Here is a 22,617-nt window from a genome sequence, read left to right as displayed (position 1 = left end):
TCCCCCTCGAGTGGCTTACCACTTCCCTGTTCAGCCCTGGACAGTAGCACTCTTCATGTGTGTTGGAACACATCTGGAGATCGTGGATAGCCCAGAGTGTCTCAGCACCCCTTTGAGATTGTGCCCTGGGCCTCTGCCCAGCGGTAAGTGTTGAAGCTCTGAGGTTTGCCCCCTCTGGGGAGGTGTCTCTGATTTTATTTGCCCAGACATCTCCATCCTTTCAAATACATGAACATTCACAACAGACTCATTCTGGAGCCAAACCAACGTGAGATGCCCTTGTAGGGAACAGAGTGTGGGAACGAGGGGAGGGCGAGGGCTGCTCTGGTGAGCCCATGGCAGTGGGCGGTGCTGTTCTTCATTGGAGGGGTCCTAGCAGATGGACCCATCAAGGGAAAGGCACAGGAGCCCGAGCAGGGAGCCAGGGCTGCAGAGACACCTCTGTGCCCTCCGAGGCGACAGTCACAGGTCCCACTGCCAGCCTTGGTGTGCTTTGTGGCCTGATGTAGCCTGAGCCAGGGTCACATAGCGGCACTCAAAATACATTTGCCCAATGAGTGGGTGTGTGGTCTCCTGTCTGGTTGTGTGTCTGTGTGTGTGCAGGTGAGTATATGGTCTCCTGTCTGTGGCTGTGTGTCTTCGTGTCTGCACGTGGGTGTATGGTCCCCTGTGCCTGCTCTATGTCTGTGTGTGTGCACCATTGTGAACTGTGTAGGTTGTGTGTGGTCCCCTGTGCCTGCTGTATGTCTCTGTGTGTGCACCTGTGTGAGCTGTGTAGGTTGTGGTCAGTGACCATGATGGGTTGTGCCTGTGCTTTGCGGAGTTATTTTGGGTGAGTGCCACTTTTGAGTGTTGCTCCAAGATGGTGTGCATGGGCAGTTGCTGGGAGACCACAGTGGGTGGTAGGTGCTGCTGTGATGGGGGTGTGACTGTGGTTGTGGGCAAGGGTGGGTCTGAGCTGTGTTTCATGATGTGCACCAGCTTAGGGGGTGGTGTGCTCTCCCACGCAGCCTGCCCTGGTGACAGGGTCCCCTGTGCATGAGATGTGTGGCTGTTGCTGGCTGTTTCGTGACCTGCACGCGTGGCATGTGTGTTGTGGCTCTGCGTGCGTGCAGGAATGTCTGTGGCCCTGGGTCCGCTCTCAGCTGTGACATGTGGACAGCAGGGTGGTGTACGAAGTCAGTGCTGATTGCATTGAGCTGAGTACAGTCAACTTCTTAATAACCAACCCATGAGGGAGGAGATCTGTGACCCAGAGAAAGGAAACCTATGCTAGAAATGGAAAACCAATTACATTGAGCTCTGAAAGCATCACGATTTGATATTTTTGGCTACCAATTTGCTTCCCCACTTCCTACTCACATGAATGTGTGTTTCTGAAGCCCTGCTGCTCAGCAGGGCCTGGCAGGTGCTCTGAGATTTCAAAGGAACCGGGCAGGGTGGGCCAGGTCTCCCCTGGTCCCCAAGAGCTGACCTGAGCTCTGTGTCCAGTCTTCAGCCTTCTTCTGTGAGATGGAGTTTAGGTGATTTGTGGAGATATCCAAAATAGAATTTGAGGAATGATTTGAACTTCTATAATCTCATGTTATCATCAGTTTAATTTACTTTTTGATGGTGTATAAGGTGCTTTGCAAATTTCACAAACACCTGCTACCACAAACACATGCTCTAACCATCACAGGGGTCATATGCCTTTATTCTCCATTGTGAGAAAACCACATTTATCCTTCTTCGATGATTTAATTTTATGGCCAGGCATTTAATCCTTAAATTTGGCAGGTATCAATAATCAGGGCCCATTGTAGCTGAACACTGTAATGAATCAGAATATTATAATATTTAAGACAAAGCTATTCAGAGTAAGCTGGCGCGTACTGGATGCACACAGTAGCCCCATCATCACATCTGTTTTCGACTGTTATCAAAATGATTTATACCTTACTGCTCTCATACCACACCTCTGTCATTCAACGTTTCTGATTGTTACAGATTTTGTTCAGCCTATATCCGGATCAAGGAAAGCTCTGGCAGCTGTTGGCCTTATCACCGCTGGAGAACTACTGTATCCAAAATCCACTCTGAGATGGCCAGCCGCCTGGCTGAGATCTGAAACACAAGGAGACACTTGCAGACGGTTGTGACTGCTGCTGAAGGCCACGGCACAGGCCATTACCACTCGAATTTTGTTTCTCCAGGATGTCTGATGAGAGATGGAGTCTCAGGACAGAGGGGCGGGGAGCTCCAGGGAGACAGTGGCGGGGTTGGTGGTGGAGCTCTCCGAGTGAGGAAGGGGGACAGCAGGGCACATTCCAGCCAGGACCTGGCTTTCCCTAGCTCCCCGATACTCCTTTCCTCCCCCGTCTCTTTTGCGTTCAGCGTGACCCATCTTCCAGTCCCTGCTGTCCTGGCTGTGTCACCTTGCTCTGATGACTGCTGTGGCACCTCCTACTGTGCTTGCTCTGGCCTTCTTGCATGCCTCAGAATTTTTAGTTAGAAGTCATACACATCCTGTAGGATAGTAGATACAGAGGCCAGTGGTGTTTAAGCTTGGAGATGAGCATGCCTTGACTTCTGCAGGCATTAGTTGGAGGGTTCATGTAAATCTAGTGAGAATCTGGCTGTGTTGAGGTTTGCGGTTGCTGTGGCAACCTGCGGTGCACTAGACACTCAGAATTACCGGGCGCCCTGCCAGCTGTCTGCCAGACCTTGCTCTATGCCCACCCCTCCCACTGGGGTAAGAGCTACTTTTTCCCCTCCTACCTTCTCATGGCTGCAGGAATTCCCACTGCGCCCTCTGGCTGCCAGATTAGATGCGCTTCCCAAGCAAATGAAGGCCTTTGCTCCTTAGGGGAGATAGAGGCAGCGGGAGAGGGTGAAGCTTGGCATCACTGGGGGATGCTTTCCCGGGATCTTCCCCAGGCTTCCTGTCTTCCTGGGGAGCGTCCGCTGGGGTTCCTGGAGGAAAAGCCTGCAAGAAAATGTGAACACCTCCATCTGTGGCTCTCAGAGGCTCCCACGCTCAAGCGAGCCCACACTTGACCTTGAGCAATGTCTACATTTTCTGGCTGAATCCCGCCTGATTCTGAAGTGTGGGGCTGGCACCTGTCCCAGGGAAGCCGCCTCTTCCTACAGTCACCTGTTTTGCTCTAGGTTTCAGGCGAGTTGTTTCTGCTGCAGCCTTATTCTGGGATCAGGAGTGGGCGGTTAACTGATGTCCGCCCAGCCTTTTCTGGGTGAAAGGGTGGGAGGGCTGTTTCTCAGCTCTCCAGCCAGGGTCCAGAGCCTATTTTGGAATGGACATGGTCATTAAGGTGTCTGTGCATGAAGGCCCCTGAAGCCCCCGGTACTGCTAGTGCGGCGGGCATCCGTGGAGGGTCCTGGAGAGGTGGGACCCTCCGATGCAGTGCTCTGATCAGGCAAATATTTTTGATGATTATTATTTAAAAAGGAATTAATTCAGTTAGCTAAATGGCAAGTGTTTTTTTCTTTAGTCTACTTACTTGATAGCCTCAGTGAACTGAAATTTTAGGAAACTGGCTTGCTTTCCTTGCAGTTGCTGTAATCTGTTGCATAGTCTTGGTTTTTGTAGTCCTTCTGGCAGTCTCACTACATCTTCCCAGGACACCCTCTCCTTAGCCAGTGACCTACCCAGCAGGGCACCAGCAGCCTTCCAGAAAGGCCTGGCACTTGAGGCTTTCTGGTGAGCCGGGGGCACACTGGTCACAGTTTGTGCTTCCCTCTGCTCAGTGGATGGAGGCACCCACAGTTTTAGAAGCACTCCACTTCCACTGGGGTCAGGGCGGTGCTGATGTCAGCTGAGTGCGTGTGCACGTGTTTGTATTTTCTTCATCACTTTAAAACCGTGCCTGAGCTGTAAAGTATCTCCATGTGAGAGAACCGAAGAGCTGTGTGATGTTGACAGACTTTGTTTCTCATTCTTGTGCCTCGACCTCTGCATTACTTCTCCAGGATGAAGAAAGCCAAGACTTGCCCTGTGTTCCTGGCCCCCCTCATGAAGTTCCCAGGACATGCCACCCTCCTGGGCAGGACTTTCCCGCAGGGGGAAGGGGAGATAGAGCAACCGGCTGCCAGGCTGACCCAGGAACCTGAAGGGGGAGGCTGGATCCTGTCCAGAAACCGTCCTCAGTGGGACTCAGGCAGGAGGGGGAGATTTCGGGGAACACTGGCACCAAACTTGATCAGTCAGTAGAGATCCCAGGCGAGCACAGCAGCTTAGGTCACTAAGATGAGATGATAGCCTCAGCCCTCTGGTCATCCCACCCAGGCCCCAGTGTGTCCCCTTTATTCTAAGGCATTTTGCCGAGCTCCTTCTCGAGCAGCCTGAGTGCACCAGGCCCCACGCAGGACCCCACAGCCTGAGTCCCTCCCAGCAGGGGGCAGGGCAGCCTGCCTTTCTTGGCAGGGGGTGGGGATGGGTGGGGGCGGGGAGCTGTCTCGCCTGCTCCCTGTGTGGCCTTCGAATTTGGATGAAGAGGGAGAGAGAGAGCCTGGGAGAGATGAAGGCCGCAGGGGGGAAGACGGGTGCTGCGTCCTCCAGCGCAGTGGGTCACCAGCCACGATGAGGGGTTGATTTGAGCCTCCAGCAGGCTCCTTGGAAAAGGGCAGTGTTCCCAGGGATTAACCACGCTTTCCGGAAACTCACGGACCCTCTCTTTGTGAAAGCTGAGCTTTGTGAAAGCTGCAGGCCTGAGGCCTGCCTGGGGAGGAGGGGAAGCCAGCTGGACCCTGCCCCCCACAAGGTGATTCCCTGAGAAAGGGCGTGCAGTATAGGCGTGAGGTAGGAGGGGCCTCGGCCTGGTTGGAAAGGCCCACAGCAATGTCCTCAGGGCTGTCTTCTGAGCAAGGAGCTCGAGGCCTCCTCCCGGCCCTCTGGCCTGCCCTGTGGAGGAGGCTGGGTGAAGGACACCCAGGGTGTCTGCTGTGAGGGGAGGAGCTTCTGGAGAAAGCACCACTCTCCTTTAGCCGGTGAATAGCGAAGCCACCTTTCTTTCGGAACCTCAGTGTCTCCCGCAGCAGCCAGGCGGTGTCGGTTCGGTAGTTGCAGGGTCTATTTCAGAAGCCTGTAATTGTAGCACCTGAAGTTCTTTGTCCCTGAATTGTTGTCTGAAGGAGGCCTGTCAGGCTCCCAGGGCACTGGGCAAATGAACAGAAGCCAGCAAACCTCTACAACCAGGTCAGTTAAGGGCGCCGTCCTTGTCTCCCGCTCTCCTTTCTCTTCCTCCCTCCCTTCCTGCTCTTCTTTGCTGCGTCCTCTTCTTTCTCCTCTCCCTTTCTCTCTCCCTCCCTTCTCCCCATTCTCCCTATTCTCTCCCTCCCTCTTTCCCCATCCCTTTCATTCTCTCCTTTTTCCCATGTGATGCATTTTGTATCACACCCAGCGCTGCATCCTGGGCTCTCAGAGGACATGGAGGAGACTGTGAGATTCAGAGGGGAGGAGAAAACACTGTTTCCCCACCCTCCTAGCTTCTCCAACCAGGGCCCTGCAGATTAGACACGAAGGACAGGTTAACAAGAAAAAGGCATACTCATGTATTTCATATAAGCGTTGCTTGACAAGAAACAGCTGAGCTTGGTGTTTTGATGCTAGGTTTGATGAAGAGTGGGGTCCTGAAAGGTGTGATAGGACGAGAGCACATGAGCAAGCGCAGGAAACGGGCCGGGAGGGGCCCTGGCGAGGCCTGTCCATTCAGGTCCCTCTTGGCCTCCCTCCATCTTTGGAGCTAAGGATGCACCCTTTCCCTGGTGTGGGGGGCACCTCTCACAAGAGGGTCACGACGATCTGCTTCAGGGGAGTTAGGTCTTGAATGAGGGCTGAGATGTGGGTAATAAGAAAGGCAGGAAGATCGTGTTAATGGCCAAGGGCGTGGGGCACCTGGGGAAACGCATTTCTTCACACACTGTCAGAGGAGGGTGTGCGTCTGGCGGGCGGCGGGGACATGGGGTTTCTCCTGTCTGCCTTGTGGTTCTCCTTGACACTCTCCGAGCCGTGAACCTTAGCAGCCACGTGGACTCCACGCTGCTGCAGGTGGACCTGGCAGGGGCCCTAGTGGCCAGTGGGCCGAGTCGTCCTGGGAGGGAAGAGCACATCGTGGTGGAGCTGACCCAGGCTGACGCTTTGGGCTCCAGGTGGCGGCGGCCACAGCAGGTTATGCTGATAATTTATTTGAAAGGAATTGTGAAATCTCATTTCATCTCATAATAAATTGTGTTTCCTCTTGAATGGATTTGATGGGGAGCCACAGGCGAGGACACCATTCTTAGTCAATTCATTGGCTCTTCTTATCTTTTGCTTTGTCTTTGAAATTCTCTTTTTACCATTTCTCTATTTATGAAACTCTTGCCATTTCAGTAAAATCAGGCTTGCAAGTTCTTTATTCAAAACTGTTTTGCTGGGCCATTCAGGAAACATACATTTGAAATGAAAAAACTTTTTTTTTTTTTTTTGGTGTCGTTGAAGTGCAGTTAAGTCCGGGCCTTACGTCAGGGTTCAGAAGACACTTCCACAGCACGGTTACTGTGTTTGTGGACATCTGCTAAGACAGTGCCTACGTTCTGAGCTGCTGTATCTGTGTAGGCCTGTGCTCAGCCTTGTCTCTGAGCCTTGTCAAGCCTTCATTCACATCCTGCAAAGGCAGCCAGGAAGCGGTGGCTGTCATGGCAGCCCAGAGCCTAGACTCCAGAGGCAGGGCTCCTTCCACGCAAGCCTGACTCCCCCGAGCCCTGGCCTCGGAGACTCCACTGGATTATCACGGTGACTTCTGCATGGAAGTCGTAGCCCTGGTTCATGGATGTTCCCTGTTATAACCAGTAGAGGGAAACCCCGCCCATGCACAGGCTGTGTCACCTGCAGTGGAGCATCTGAAGAATGAATGCACCCTCCCCTTTTCCTGCCTTGTAGAGCATGGTCCACAGAGCAAAGGTCTCATTATGAACTAGCATGCAGTGTCCTGGACCGTGGCTGACGCAACACCAATGTTCTGAACCGGCTGCCCTGGCCAGGGTCTTAGGATGTCAACTTGGTTCCCTGTGTGAAAAGCACAGCCCTCTGGCAAGGGGCTCCTTGGTGATGAGCAATGACCTTTGCCCTCTGACCTGGGACTTGCATGGAGAAGGGCAGGACCTTACACAGCCTGCGGTCCCGCTGCCTCCCCAGCACTTGCATATTAATAACCCAGATTAAATGATCTGTATGGCACCTCCCTGCTCTCTTGGGGTGGCCCTTCCTAACATGCTGATGCACCCAAAATGCCCACAGGCAAATCCAGCCCCAGAAACATGGGAAACCCAAGAGATCTTTACTAAAGGATTTTTCCCCCCAGATACGCTCTTTGCAAACACTGAAGTACCTAAAAGAACTTCTGTTCTCTCATGCGTGTGCTTCTTTGCTTTGACCGGTTTCAGAGATCCTATTTTCAGTGTCCTTTGTGATTTGTGGGCGAGATTCGCATCTTCCCATTGAGGGTCCCCCCCCGCCCCCCGCTCCCCAGGCTGCCTCCCCAGGTGATCACTCTCCTGCACCCCAGGGGCAAGAACATGCAAGGCAGGGAATGAAGCTTCACTCTGGGGCCCTTCCTTGCAGGGGCTCCTGTGCACAGGGGTGTGGAAGGTTTGCTGGGGGTGGGTTTGTTGCCTCCAGGTTGCAAGCAGTTGCAGAAGCAGTTCTCAGGACTCAGAGCACTCAGAAGAGTTCTCCAAGTCTCTAGTAACTTGTAGTGATTTCATTTTTTAAATTAAAAAAAATTTATATTAGAAAATTTTTAGAGTCGGGGGTCTCACTCTGTTGCCCAGGCTGGGGTGTAGTGGTATGATCTCAGCTCACTGTAACTTGGAACTTCTGGGCTCACAGGATCCTCCCGCCTCAGCCCCTAAGTGGCTGGGACCACAAGCACATGCCACCAGGCCTGGCTAATTTTTAAAACTTTTTTGTGCAGACAGGGGTCTTGCTCTGTTGCCCAGGCTGATCTTGAACTCTTGGCCTCAAGTGATCCTCCCACCTTGGCCTCCCAAAGTGTTGGGATTACAGGCGTGAGCCAGCGCGTCTGGGCATGATTTCTTTTTCTCGTATTAAATCACTATTTACTTCTATGCCTTTTGTACTTTTGTACACTAATTCTGCATTTTTTCTTTTGAATCCTTTTTCTTAAACAAAGCTCTCTAAATTGTGGAAATTCCCAGCTCCAACCACCTGCACTAGCTCCTAACATCAGAGATGTGAGAGCTCAAATAAAGATGCTCTCCTGTTTCTTTCTTTCTCCTTTTCTTTTTTGAAACAAATACCTAGACCGAGCAGTGCCAGATCCCAGATGGTGTCTCAGGTGAAAAGCCTCACCATAACTTATGCTTTGGCTTGTACAGGTCACTCACAACTGGACGGTGTATTTAAATCCGAGGAGAAGCGAGCACTCAGTGATGAGCAGGACCTTTGAGGTACTGACCAGGTGAGTTCTCAGTGAGTGAGGTGTTGGGGCAGGCTCTCTGGGACACGTGCGTTTAAAGGAGTCTGACCTATAGGACACTGATTTCGGCCCACACAGCACCAGGTCAGCATGTGACTTGGACACGGCACTCATGCTGTGTAGACAGTGAGCTCAAAGGCTGTGGGAGGACATCGTAGCCATGGGTGTCAGGATGTGAGAGGGTCGACTGCAGAAGTCACTTTGAAACAAATGGTATTTTTTGGTTGACGTTCTAATTTCATTAATGTGAAGCTGTACAATGGAGAATTCTAGGAAATTTAGGATTCTTCTTCCTTAACTAATGCTGCTTCATATTCAATCGGTACTCTTGCTTGGTGTGTTAGACAGCTAAGGCTGCCGTATCATAGTACTACACACTGGGTGGCTTAAATGTCAGTCATTTACCTTGTAATTCTAGAGGCTGGAAGTCCGAGGTCAAGGTGTCGACAGGGTCAGTTTCTCCCAAGGCCTCTCCCCTGGCTTACAGGTGACCATCCCTCTGTGCCTGTCTTCTCATCTCTCCTTGTATGGACACCCATCCTACTGGATTAGGAGTCATCCCCATAACCTCATTTAACCTTCTTCACCTTGTTAAAGACCCTCCCTCTACCTACAGTCACATTTGGAGGTACTCGGGGTTAGGACTTCAACAGAGGAATTGTTTTTGGAGGAAGGGGACATAATTCGGCCCATAAAACATATTGGCCTGAACTTGAAAAAACGCTTCAGTGTTCGCCACAGACCTGTGGTCACTTGCAGGCTTCTCGTCTGTAGTGCGTCTCCCCACTCTCAGGGACTGGAGTTCAAATAGCTGGCTTTGCTCTTAGTTAGCAGGTAAACTGGTCGGGTATGTTGGGGAGGAGGAAGAGCCAGTTCAATGGCTGGCGTCTTCTGTGCAGGCCCCTACTCACTGTTCATTGTCGGGTGGTGTCACAGGAAGGCTGAGGGGCCTGCTTGGACCAGTCGGGCTTGGCTGCAGGGAGGCTGCATCCTATGTCTCACGCCGCTGGCCTGTGCTCACTGCTCTTCCAGCTGTGAGATTGGGCGTTGGGCTGAATTGTTCCATTTGCACTCTGGTTAATGCCATGGCTGATACAGAGGGAGGTCCCCTAACTGTTGACCTTGTGAACAGTAAGGTCGTTGTTTCGTTCTGCAGAGAGACGGTGTCCATCAGCATCCGGGCCTCCCTGCAGCAGACCCAGGCTGTCCCTCTTTTGATGGCTCATCAGTACCTCCGCGGAAGTGTAGAAACCCAGGTGACCATCGCGACGGCCATCCTCGCGGGCGTCTACGCGCTGATCATATTTGAGGTAACTTTCACACCTGCTCCCCCGATCTGTCTGGGCCCACAGTCAGGGAGGCTTGAGATCCGTGAGACACTCTGGATGGGCTCAGTCCTGACTCCTTAATCAAACTGGACTAGTGTCATCATTCCTAAAGATTAGCGTGTCCCTCTCTCTAGGTAGAAAGGGAACCATACAGGAATATTTGCTGAATCTTGGCAACTGACATGAGAAGGATGGACTTTAGGAGCAGAAGTGTACCTGAGAAAACAGAATGTGCATACGATTTTCTACTCTCTCTCCGCTGCTCACTCCAAGTGTGACCTTGAGGGAACAAGAGTCACAGTCTCCTCTGAGACTCAGAGTCTGCACCTGTGTGATGGGTGTGCTCATTTGCGCCCACCTGCACCGTGGGGTTGTGTGTGTGAGGGGACACGGATGGCCTGGGGCTGTGTGCCCGGAGGGATTATTTGATTATCTGTTCCGTCTACCAACTTGGCTTATGGGCATTTCCACATGTGATCTTAAGTCCAGTCAATGTTATGTTTCTGGGAAGTTCTAAGTGTGGCTATGCCTTCAATAGCACGAAGCAATGTGCAGACCCTTCCTGGGCTGGGCAGGTCCGTTGTTGCTTTAACTATGAAATCAAACTTAACCACAACACGGACAGGAGCCTGGAAGGTCAGTGCATGATGTGACCGTTAGAGGCGCGTCCTAGTGAGCTTGGGATAGGTCTGAGAAATACCTGGGGATGTTGAGGAGATGGCAGGCTGGAGGAGTGGCCAGGAAAGTTCCAGAACTTTGCTTGTGGTTGTTGAGTACACTTGCTGAGGAATGATGACCCCAGTAAGTTGAGCCCTCACCTGTCTAACAAGGACCACTCACAGGATTAATTGTTATCTCTTACATCTCTTCAGTTCTAGAACAGTTTTGTTCCCTCCATTTTCTATCCATTTTCTTTTAAATTAATATTACTGTTGTTTCACGGTTCCCATGACCACCCTGTGATTTGACACAGGAACTCGCAGGCTCAGGGGCAGCTGTCCTCTGGGCTGGGGTTTATTGCCATGCCCGGCAGTGGAAACCTGCTGAGCCTGGAGGAACCCAGGAGTGGGCTTCTGAAAGGTCTCCTCTCCCAGGTGGGCCCACACAGAGCACGCCCCTCCCTCCAGCAGCCAGAGGCAGCCATATGCGGTGTTTCTGCCCTGGGCAACCTGTTGGAGACTGAGTTTTTGTGGAGGCCGGTTAGATGGTCACCCTCAGCTTACCAAGATCCCTGCTCCCAGGAAGCAAGCAGGTGCGCACCATTTATAAATCACATTTTATACAGTCTGGGCATGCAGGTAATACAGCAGAACACACTGCCCCAGGCCCACAAGACAGCCTTCTCTTTGGTAATGAGGGAATAGTCCCGAAGCTGAGTACCCAGAAGCCAGCCAAGGGCCCTTCTAAAGGTGACGTTAGGTGAAATCTTTACTGCGCCACCATCTAGTTGACAAATCCTATTCTGTTGTTCTGTAGAATATTCTATACCCTGATTCAGTGCTGGGTTCCTCATGGGATTAATTAGCTGCTCTATCCTATTTCCTACAGACTACAATTGAGATCTGAAGCCTTCAGGTTCCATTTTGGGGCACCTGTGCTTCACAGGTGTGCAGGGGTCTGGCCTGTGTCCAGGAGGAGGACCCTATGTCTGGATGTCCTGCTGTCAGGGGTGCGGAGAATGCTCAGGGAGTTGAGGTGGTGGAGAAAGGTGCCCAGCTCCCTGCCACTTTTTCTCTTAATGATTTTAATACCCACCAGGGCCCACTGCCCGCCTAAGATAAATCCTATTTCTGTAATGATCAACTTTCTTAGTAATGAGCTCTTCCCTTAGTAACTTCCAGTGGTGTCCACTGAATTTATTTAGTTTCCCTCTTCCCCTTTTTTACTATTATTTTGCAATTATAGATTTAATAAATTCAATGTGCTTTAATTAGTTACAGTCATTAATTAAAAAATACAATACAATGCCAATTATTTTTAATGGGCTTCTCTGTTATTCTAAGGTTTGTTCACTTTTTTTGTAAAATTGTTCAACCTTTGAAAACTACATAATTTGCAAAGATTTATTTTCATTAATTAATGGTTAGTATTATTTGTCATTTAGAAAAAACCTCTCCTTCTCTACAAAAAGCCATTTCTAGATTTTAAAAGTCCTGTACTTTGATTTTTTTTTTATTACGGCTAGCAGATATTTAAGAGGCCAGTTCGACATGGTTTCCACCCTTACAGAAACAAAAAGCAGAGGCCACCACACAGAAACCAGCCACACATAGAAGGGAGCATGGCAGGGTCTCAGGAAGGGCCTTGGAGGGCAGTCCCTGGATTCCATGAGTAGTGTGGCAGCCCAAGACCTCCCAGAGGCTGCCTCCCCATGCAGCCCATCCGTTCCCTGGCAATCTTTCAGTAGGTCTCCCTACACGGCTTGTTCTACACATCTGGTGGTCCAAGGCCCTTCTGTCATAGCTGTCCATGTGCCCCTGCCTATGACAGGGTGTGGTCTTTCTATTGGTGTGTAGTGATATCTTACTGTGCTTTCAACTTAATTTCTCTAATGATGATAATGTTGGATATTATCTTTTCATGTATTTATTTGCCACCTGTCTATCTTCTTCAGCGTGATGTCTGTATGTGCCTTTTGCTTATTTTCTAATTGAATTGTTTTTAAAAATGTTGAGCTTTGACTGTTCTTTATATATTATAGATATACAGACTGTTGGATATGTGGTTTGCAAATATTTTCTCTTAGTCTAGTTTATAATTTTTTTTCCTTTTTTTTTTTTGGAGACAAAGCGCTGGGATTACAGGCATGAGCCACAGTGCCGGCCTTTTTTTTTCTTTTTTGAGATGGAGTCTCCCTCTGTTGCCCAGGCTGGAGTGCAATGGTCCAATCTCGGCTCACTGCAACACCATCTCCTGGGTTCGAGTGATTCTCCTGCCTCAGCCTCCCAAGTAGCTAAAACTACAGGTGCGTGCCACCACACCTGACTAATTTTTTTGTATTTTTTGTAGAGACAGGGTTTTACCATGTTGGCCAGGCTGGTCTTGAACTCCTGACCTCAAGTGATCCACCCACTTCAGCCTCCCAAAGTTCTGGGATTACAGTCATGAGCCACTGTGCCGGGCCAGTTTTTTTCTGTTATAGATTGCGGTTTGGGTGTCAAGTCTGAGAACTTATTGCTTAGTTGCAATAATTCCAGAGTCCAAAGATTGGTTTTCTTTTTTTTTTTCAGTTTTACTTTTAAGACCAGGATCTATTTTGAGTTAGTTTTATTATTATTATTATTTTCTTTGAGATGAGGTTTCAGTCTGTCACCCTGGCTGGAGTGCAGTAGCATGATCACAGCTCACTGCAGCCTCAAACTCCTGGGCTCAAGTGATCCTCCTACCTCGGTCTCCCGAGTAGCTGGGACTACAGGCATGCAATACCATACTTGGCTAAGTTTTAAAATTTTTTTTGTAGAATCAGGGTCTTGCTATGTTGCCCAGGATGGTCTTGAATTCCTGGCCTCAAGAGATTCTCCTGCTTTGGCTTCTTAAAGTGCTAAGATTACAGGTGTGAGTGACTGTGCCAGGCCTTGAGTTATTTTTTGTGTTTGTGTGAGAGTTTTAAGTGAAGGTTCATTTTTAAACCTATGGATGTCCAACTGGGCCAGCATCATTTATCGACAAGACTACCCCTCCTCAGTTGAATTGCATTTGCTCCTTGGTTAAAAATTAATCGGACATATTTGTGGGGTATCTCTCTGGGTTCTCTATTCTGTCCCATTGGTAATGTGTCTGTTCCTCTACCAGTACCACACTATCTTGATTACTGCAGGTGTAAGTTTGGACACTGGGAAGAGTGATTCCTCACACTTATTATTTTTTTTCCCAAAATTGTTCTGGCTATTCTGTGGCCATTTGTTTTCCAAATACATTTTCCCCTCTTTGTCCTCCAGCTTTATTGGAATAAAGTTACATTTCTATTTTCTAGGACTTCAGTTGCTTTTTCATGTGGTGCTTTGACATCCACATTTTAGAATGGCCTTCTAGTCCCTAAACATAGTATTTATTTTGGTCTTCTTTGATTTTTTAAATAATTTTCATGATACTGATCTTGTACATCTTTTCTTAAATTTATACCTAAGTGTTTCCTTTTCTTTGGAGCAATTGTAAATGGTACTGAGTTTTTATTTTGATTTCCACCTATCTATTGTCAGTACATATAAATACATTTTTCTGTGTATTAATCTTATACCTTGTCATTTTATTGAATTTACCTATTACTTCTCAGAGTTTTTAAAAAATAAAATTATTGAGATTTCCTATGTAGACAATCATGTCATTTGCAATGAGGACAGTTTTATTTCTTCTTTTCCAATCTGTATGTCTTTAATTTCCTTTTCTTGCCTTACTGCAGTGGCTAGAATGGGAATGGTAAGACTGGCATTGTTCTCAATCTTAAAGGGAAAGCATTCAGTCTTTCACCATGAAGTATGACATTATTAGTTTTTGTAGGTGCTCTTTATGAGACTGAGGAAATTCTTTTCCTAATGTACTAAGAGGGGTTTTTTGTTGTGTTTTTTCTTTTCTTCTCTCTCTCTCTTTTTTTTTAAAAACCATAATTGGGTGTTGAGTTTTGTCAGCATCTTTTTTGTGTCAACTGATGTGCTCATATGGTTTTTTTTCATTAGCTGCTTGAGATGGTGGATTACATTGATTTATTTTAGAATATTGGACTAGACTTGCATATCTGGAATAAATCCTTCCTTTCTAATGTGAGCGTTTATTACTATAATTTTCCCTGTCAGCACTGCTGTAGCTGCATCTTACAGATTTTGATCTGTAGTGTTTTCAGTTTCAGTTAGTTCTCTCTAATTCTTACATTTCCCTGAGACTTCCACTTTGACCCATAGATTATTTAGATGTGTGTTGTTTAAATTCTAGATATTATAGATTTTCCTGTTGTCTTTCTATTACTAAATTACAGTTTGATTCATTTATAGTTAGAGAACTTACACTATATTTAATCCTTTAAATTTGTTGACTTTGTGTGTGTGTGTGTGTGTGTGTGTGTGTGTGTGTGTGTGTGTGACAGAATCTCGCTCTGTTGCCCAGGCTGGAGTGCAGTGGCGCAATCTCAGCCCACTGCAACCTGCGCCTTGTGGGTTCAAGTGATTCCCCTGCCTCAGCCTCCCAAGTAGCTGAGACCACAGGCGCATACCATCATGCCTGGCTACTTTTTGTGTTTTTAGTAGAGACGGGCTTTTGCCATGTTGGCCAGGCTGGTCATGAACTCCTGGCCTCAAGTGATCTGCCTGCCTCGGTCTCCCAAAGTGCTGGGATTACAGATGTGAGCCACTGTGCCCGGGCATTGTTGACTTTTTTTTAAATGACTCAGGTTTATGGTCTATCTTGATGAATATTCTGTGGGCTTAAAGTAATATGATTTTTCCTTTCTTATAATACTAGTGTAACTTGCAAATATAAATTTTTTATAGGTAGTCTAAGCAACAACTTGTGAAAACCCAACACTGACCTTTTGTTGTGTCTGTAACTTGATGTGGAAGGTAGAGAAGGCTGCAGGGGTGTTAAAGGAATAGTATGTTCTACCTTATGTTTCTGTGACTTCTGTGTGTCCATAACTCCCTAGGGGAAGGTCCACATTATGAGGGGAGGGCTGGATGCAATCGCCAGCCCTATGGGCTCTCCAGCAGTGGAGCCAACATTGCATTATTCCTAGGATCTACTCTAGGGGTAGAATTTGCCTTGGGCAATGACTCAGAAGTTGTCTTGTTTCAGGCAAAGCTGCTTCCCCAGAACTGGAGGTCTCTAGATTCTGCAGGCAGGCATGCTTAGGCTGTGCCACTGCTGTCTGCATCCTGCTCTACTCAGGGGAGTCTTGGGGTGGCTTGCAGATGCCCCTGCCTGTCCTCCCAATCTGCTGCTGCCAGCTGCTCCCCAGATGCTGACACTGTTGCCTCAGGCTATGGCCTCCTCCCTGATCCCTTCTCATCTGCTCTGTTTGAAATGTTTGTTTTTTGGTGCCGAAAAGAAATAGCACTTGAACATAAATTTAATTTCCTCAGCAAGGCCATTTTTATACTTTCTGCAGAAAGGGCACACTCGCCAGTAGTTTTGCCATGAGAGTATACCAAACAAAGGAGACAGGGTCATTTATAACCTGACGTGTCCACCTTACTACTGTGTCTGGTTTCCATTGGCTAGGACGGGACCTCACATTTTGTATTTGTTTTGATTGGCTAGCAACTTAGAACTTTTTAAAAGAGGCAAAGGCAGAGGACAACAAAGGAAGGAGGAAGTAACTTGTAGAATGCTGAGAAAGGTAAAAACAAACACCTTTAAATAAGGAAGAGGAACAGGCTATGAGCTAATGCTTGCTTGGATTAGTATAAGCATGCCAGGACAAGTATTTAGGCTAAATTGTGGGAGCTAAGAACATAAAGTACATTGATTTCTTTATTACGGCCAGCAGATATTTAAGAATGTTAGCACAGGTATTTGAATAAATTTTGCTTCTAAGAGAAGTTACTATTTATTTCTAATGAGATGGGGAGGAAGTCTTTGAAGAGGAAACTCTACTCTACTTTTTACATGCTTTGTCGTGGGCGCTCCATCTCACTTATTGTGTCTGTTGTTGGTTGCTTTTGTTCAGTGTTGATTCCCAGTGCCTTGGACACTGCCTGGCCTAGAGCAAGTGCTCAATAAATATTAAACAAATGTTTCCAGAGCATCTTCAGATATTTGAGACAGGTGCTAAGGTCCTCTGGGTCTGGTCTAACTTGGCTCCTACGTGGGGGGCACTTTCCACCCCTGACTTTGTGCCCAGTGATCCATGAGTGACTGAATGGGAACAAAGGATCAGCCAGGGTTCCCTTAGGTCTTTTAATAGCTTGATGGGATGAAATTATTTCAGGAAATACCTTGGGTTATTTATACTTCTGGTCCTACAGATAATCATCCTGATTGGCACTTTCTTGCCTGAGGATTTGGGGTTGTATCTTTCATCCTTGTACAGTAGGTCTTTTTTTTTTTTGAGATGGAGTCTTGCCCAGGCTGGAGTGCAATAGTGCAATCTCGGCTCACTGCAACCTCCACCTCCCGGGTTCAAGCAGTTCTCCTGCCTCAGCTTCCCAAGTATCTGGGATTACAGGTGCGAGACACCACCCCCGGCTAATTTTTTGTATCTTTAGTAGAGATGGGGTTTCACCATGTTGGCCAGGCTGGTCTCGAACTCCTGACCTCGTGATCTGCCTGCCTTGGCCTCCCAAAGTGCTGGGATTACAGGCGTGAGCCACCATGCCCGGCCCATCCTTGTAAAGTAGTTCTTGTTGAAAGTCCCAAAGAACACAGTTGGAGCAATCCTCCTAACTCTTGCACTTTGCATCTATAATACGGCTCTGGGAGATTTCCCAATGCAGCATTCTAAAAATTCCATTATCAGAGCTAAGGCTTCTATGCCCTTATACTGTATAAAATTAAAATAGTTCTGACACAGTCTTAATGAACAATATTTCACAACATAAATGAGACAGTGCATTTTCTCCATATGTCTTCCATCCAACCCCTGGTATTATGTTTTAAGAAGGATTGCCACCACAGCTCCTTTCTGCTGGAAACAAGCGAGCCCTTTCTTTCCCTTCACCCACTTTATGTAATTGTAGCAAAATGATGCAGCCTTTGTGTAACATCGTGTTTCATTGCTCTGGGTCCTTTCATATTTAATTTAGGAGTTCGTGTAGTGTTTGGTTTAAAAATTAACTGTGAAATTAAATTCGAGGGAGATGAATAGAGAACACCTTCCATCTTCCAGGGAGTTTCCATTTTTAATTTACAGAAATGGGAAGCATATTTGGAGAGAGAAGAGCTGCATTTCAAAACCCAATGCACGTATCATAACACTGCAAACCTCCAAGTTAGGTTTTCCTAATTTCTGTTCTTATGATGCTCTGCAGGGCTGCAATTTAAATCTGTAGCCATTGGCTCTGCCCCCTCATTCATTTCTTTTTGTCTGCAAGCCTCTTCTTACTGCTGATTCATGGAACATATTGCATAAGTAGCACTGGCAAACTTGCTCCATTACCTTGTTCCAGAGATACCTCTCCTTTTCTTTCTTGAAAAGGACTCCTTCAGAACTGCAGGAAAACTGGTGGATTATGTAATACACTCCCTCTGCTTAACACATAAACTGAATTGCAGAGACACTTTTGCAGTTGAAGGAGTCGGGATGGGACATAGGTCTTCTGGCCACTGGGCCATGCTACTCACATTTTTTTCTGGCAAGCTCACAATCCAGCATTTCTTCTCAAAGTGAGTAGCCACATCATTCCTTAGAAAAATGGCAAGTATTTTGCAGACTGCTTGAAGTAGGTGGACCCTTTCCAACCTCGCCTCCTGGATGGCTCTCTTTCGCATGCCCTTGGCTGTTCCTGCACATGCAGTGAGCTCTGGAGCATGCTGTTGTTCGAAGCCAGATCCAATGAGAGGTGGGGGGTGGTGGGGCGAAAGGAAGCCAGTGCAGGAAGGAGGGCCACAGTGAATCTTGAGGGCTCTGATTTCAAAGAAAATGATGATGGTGATAACCACCGGAGCTAACGTGTGCGGAGGGGCCAGCCCTGTTCTGGGAATTCTCTGTGTGTTAATGGACAACCCCACAACCCCATGAGGCAGACTTTATCACCACCTCCATTTTATAGTTGAGGACATCAAGCACAGAGAAGTCAGACCACTTGCCCAAAGTTCCCCAGCTGGCCAGTGGCTGCCTTTGGAGTCCACATTTCTCACCAGGGTGTGGCGCTTCTCAAGGAGATGGGAATTATCTGTAGCCAATGCCCAGAAGGCTGTGCAAGGTGAACAGATGTCTGTCATGCTCCTACCATGGGTCTGGCTCTATGTTTTCATCATCTATGTTGATTCTGAAAAGGTGCAGTAGGCTGATTAAATGACCACTTCCAAGATGCCACATCCTAACCCCCAGACCATTTGCATATGGGACCTCACACGGCAAAAGGGGCTTTGCAGAGTGATTATGCCAATGACCTTGTGATGTAGAGACTATCTGGGTGAGCTCAGTGGGTCTTTACAAATGGAGAGCCCTCCCAGCTGTGGTCAGTGGGAGAGGTGACTATGGAATAAAGGGTCACAGAAGTGTGATGCGAGGGCTTGATTCACCGTTGATGGCTTCGAAGCTGGAAAAGAGGGGTCCTGTTCATGGGATTTGGGTGTTAGGGGAAGGTGAGGGATGGATTCTCCTCTAGAGCCTGCAGAAGGAATGCGTTCCTGCGACGCCTCGATGTAGGATGTAGCGCACCTGCTGGATGTCTTACCTGCAGGACCAGAGGAGGGTGGGTTTGGTGACAGCAGCCCGGGAAACTCATACAGAAGGTCTCTGAAGGAGGTGTTGTGCTCCGGTTTTGCCAATGGAGATGTGAGCTTGGGGAGATGTGGGCTTGGGGAGACGGGGGCTTGGGAGGCAGTGAAGGCAGGGTTGAACCTAGGTTCAAGACACCCCCCAGCCCTTTCTGTGGAATCACAGCCATTTCCATGGAATCAGCCTCCTTCTGAGGAGGGGAAGTGGGGGTGCTGAGGACTGGCGGGCTGAACTGAGCTGAGCTGAGCTACAGGCAGTGTGAGAGGAGCCTCCCAAGCCTGCCTGCCTCCTGGACGCCCTGACACCACGGTCCAGCTCGCAGGGGCAGTGCGAGGCGAGGCCGGCACACAGTTTCTGTCACAGCCACATTGTGAGGCATGGTGATTTTCTTTGATATACAGGAAGAAATCTGGGGCTCAAGGGGTGGAGGGGCTTCCTCCCCCACAGTCTGATGGCCTTGTCTGTCATCAAAAGATCGGGCTGCCGTGAGAGTGTGGGATCAAGTGGAAGGACGTTGGGGTGCATGTGAGTGTGTGACTGTGTGTGTGTTAGTACATGAGTATGTGTATTACTGTTTAAGTGCATGTGAGGCTGTGTGTGAGTCACAGCGAGGGTGTGTGTGTGAGACCATGTGTCTGTGTGTGATTGCATGTGAGAGTGTGACTCTGTTGTGTCTGTGCAAGTTAGTGTGTGAGTCAGCGTGTGAGACTGTTAGTGTGTGGGCATGTGAGGGTGTGTGTCAGACCATGTGTCTGGGTGTCACAGTGTGTGACTGCATGGTTGTGTCTGTGTATACCAGTTAGTGTGTGAGTGTGAGACTGTGTTAGTGTGTGGGCATGTGAGGGAGGGTGAGTGTGAGACCGTGTATGTGAGGTGAGGGCGTGTGACTGTGTGTGTGTCTGTGTGTGGGTGTGTGCCAGACGGTCCGGGTGCCCCGCTGGCGTCCCCGCAGGCTCCCCTGCAGCCCAGCTTGGAAGTCAGGGCCTCGGCCTGTTGCTCACACTCTGGTTGGAGAGGTGGTTTCCAGAGCGCGTGCTCTGGGGAGCTGGGTGGCAGGCAAGAGTGTCCCGGGGACAATGCAGCACACCACGGGGACAGCTGCCACAGGGCGCCTAGCAGGGGGGCTGAGAGGGGGCGGAGCCGCAGGGGATGCTCCCACCCCAGGGCCGGCAGCTTCTGCTGTCTATTGTGCACAGGTCTTTCGATGTCGTAGGCTGCTTTTCCATGTTGAAAACAGGAGACGATGGACTGATGTTCTTCTGTGGGCTACTTTGGTAAATGGAAGGATCAGTGACGTGCAGAGAGACCCACAGGAAGGAAGAGCAGGGTGTCTTGCAGACCTGTGGGGCCCAGGGCCTGGGTGGCAGCGGCTGGACGGTGTTTCCGCGCGGGCGCGCAGCGCGCTACGTGGACACCAGCAGAGCCGGGAAGGGACAGGTTGAGTCCCTCGGTTTCGCATCACTCTCAGGTCACCTTTCCCCGCTCGGGGCGTAGGCCGGAGCATGACGCGGTGGAGGGAGCAGGCGGCGCGGGCGGGTTCGTGGGGTGGCCCTTGGAAGGCCCACCTTCAGAGCACCCAGATCGAGGACGCGAGCAGGCTGGGCTAGGGGTGGGACCGCCACCCTCGTGGACGTCGAGGGCGGTCTTCAGACATCCGCCAACTCTGAGATCCCGTTTCTAAGAACCCCCGAGGGCCGTGTCATTGACACACCTCGGGCTCAGCGTTCGGGGGGCACACTGCCCTGCGCACGGCTCACGCGCTGCACCACGGAGGGCCCTGCTTTCCCGTCGTTCCCCGCAGCCAGCGTGTAGCAGCCAGAATGCAGGCTTTCAGACTCTAGGCTGTGGTTTTTCCACATTTTACTCCCCTCACCCACAAAACAGAGTAACATCTCCTGGCTTCTTGTGGGAGACGAACGCGGCAGCGCGCGTGGGGCACGGACGGGCGTCCTGGGTGGGGACCGCCAGCTTCTAGAGCCATCTTTCGTCTGAACCAGGGGTAGGGACGGCACCTGTTCAATTTTGTATATTTAGGGATACAGTCACGCGAAAGCAGCTTTGGGAACATCTCGATTCTCTAAGATGGGGAAGTGTGGCTGGCCAATGTGACTCTCCGAAGCTGGCGGAGTTGGCAGCTCACAGGCTATTTTATTGCGGAGCTAAGCTTCTATAGCTTCTGAGCAGAAAGCTTTTCCATATACAATAGGAATTTGTACCTTAGGAACTGAGTACTGAAAATTCAGCTCTCCTTGCAGGCCAGGCAGGATCACGTGGGGGAAGAAGCACAGTCCGTGCGTGGCTGACGCGGACCCGCAGGCCCACAGCCCACAGCTGGGCATCATCACTTCAGAACTGAAATCACAGCCAGGAGGTTTCGGATGCTGGAGGACTGCTCCACTGATTTCCTGTGGTGCCTTCGAGCTCTGGGATCTATTGTTCTGCATAACATAAGCCAGGCTAGAAAATCAGCTCAGTATTTGTGGGCAATACCTGAAAAGAAGATATTTGAATTTGGAGTGTATACCTTCTCCTTGGGTCACACGGTGTCCAAGGGGCCTTGCAAAGGGAACACATCAGATAACACACAATAATGACAAAATATCAACAAGAACAAGGGGCCAGGAACTCATCACATCCATGTAAGAGCAGAGGAAAGCAGGCCTTGGTGGCAGGGACAGACGCAGCCCTGTGAGGCTCCCGCGTGGCCTGGAGCCCACCCCATCAGCCCGCTGAGGAAAGGCCAGCAGAAGATGATTGGGAACACAGGAACCCGGCTCTCCTGGACCGATCGGCAGCCACAGGTTTACTCCTCAAACCAGGTACACAATCTCCTCCCCAAAAGCTTTCATCCTGTTAAGGGCTCCTGCCCCCAATGCAGGAGCCAGTGATGGGATAAGGACCAGTGGCCACAGCCTCCGAGTGGGCATTCTCTGCCCTCATGCACCCCACAGACCACAGTGAGGTAGGGCACTCACCATAGCCCACCTCCACCCTGCAGAGAAAGGAAGCAGGCGGAGCAGGCCCTGCAGGGAGGCCCCATGGGGTCAGACCATGCCCTGTAGCTCCATGGTCCAGCATCTGCCACACACCTCTTAGCTTCCTCTGTTCCAGCCTCAGCTCAAGCCTCTACGTTCCAAAGATCCAAGTTGGTTAGGTATATTTTCTGACTTCCTTGGTATCCCGGGGGACACCCCTACTTCATGTTTTGCTACTGTGCAAGCCTAGTTGCCATTTTTCTGGCCTCTTGTATCAGCTTTTTTGGTGCCTCCTGCCCAACCTTGAAAGTCTTGCCATATATTTTAGCATTTTGCTTCTGGAGTGCCCCACATCTGAACCAATTTCTGTTAGCCAGTGTTTGCCGTGTCAGTGACCTACTTGAACATCTTGGTGCACACAGCCCACTCTGTTGTACTTATGGTGCAGAGTGCCGTGAGCCCGGCAG

At 49.4% G+C, this 22,617-nt stretch overlaps 1 protein-coding gene across 30 annotated transcripts in view, besides 2 other annotated features; it reads left to right on the top strand.

Annotated features, from left to right (window-relative positions):
* OCA2 (OCA2 melanosomal transmembrane protein) overlaps nucleotides 1–22,617 on the top strand; it is a 380,308-nt gene that overhangs the window by 74,753 nt on the left and 282,938 nt on the right. For all 30 annotated transcript variants that reach the window (XR_001751294.2, XM_047432619.1, XM_047432618.1 and 27 more), the window contains 4 exons: nucleotides 1,990–2,062; nucleotides 6,006–6,166; nucleotides 8,377–8,459; nucleotides 9,634–9,787. Coding sequence is in view for 29 of the 30 variants with exons in the window: in XM_047432619.1 (XP_047288575.1) it covers nucleotides 1,990–2,062; nucleotides 6,006–6,166; nucleotides 8,377–8,459; nucleotides 9,634–9,787 (471 nt within the window). In the remaining variant the exon portion in view is untranslated. The remainder of the gene's footprint in view (nucleotides 1–1,989; nucleotides 2,063–6,005; nucleotides 6,167–8,376; nucleotides 8,460–9,633; nucleotides 9,788–22,617) is intronic.
* Nucleotides 403–902: an enhancer, noted in NCBI's record as "H3K4me1 hESC enhancer chr15:28268807-28269306 (GRCh37/hg19 assembly coordinates)". NCBI's record gives its function as "activates a minimal SCP1, AML or CMV promoter by ChIP-STARR-seq in naive H9 embryonic stem cells {active_cell/tissue: H9 hESC(naive)}" and the evidence as "EXISTENCE:reporter gene assay evidence [ECO:0000049][PMID:30033119]".
* Nucleotides 4,627–5,295: an enhancer, noted in NCBI's record as "H3K4me1 hESC enhancer chr15:28264414-28265082 (GRCh37/hg19 assembly coordinates)". NCBI's record gives its function as "activates a minimal SCP1, AML or CMV promoter by ChIP-STARR-seq in primed H9 embryonic stem cells {active_cell/tissue: H9 hESC(primed)}" and the evidence as "EXISTENCE:reporter gene assay evidence [ECO:0000049][PMID:30033119]".

The sequence above is a fragment of the Homo sapiens genome, chromosome 15 (genome assembly GCF_000001405.40).
Source record: "Homo sapiens chromosome 15, GRCh38.p14 Primary Assembly".
NCBI classification, from domain to species: Eukaryota; Metazoa; Chordata; class Mammalia; order Primates; family Hominidae; genus Homo; species Homo sapiens.
This window is presented reverse-complemented; position numbering and strand designations above follow the sequence as displayed.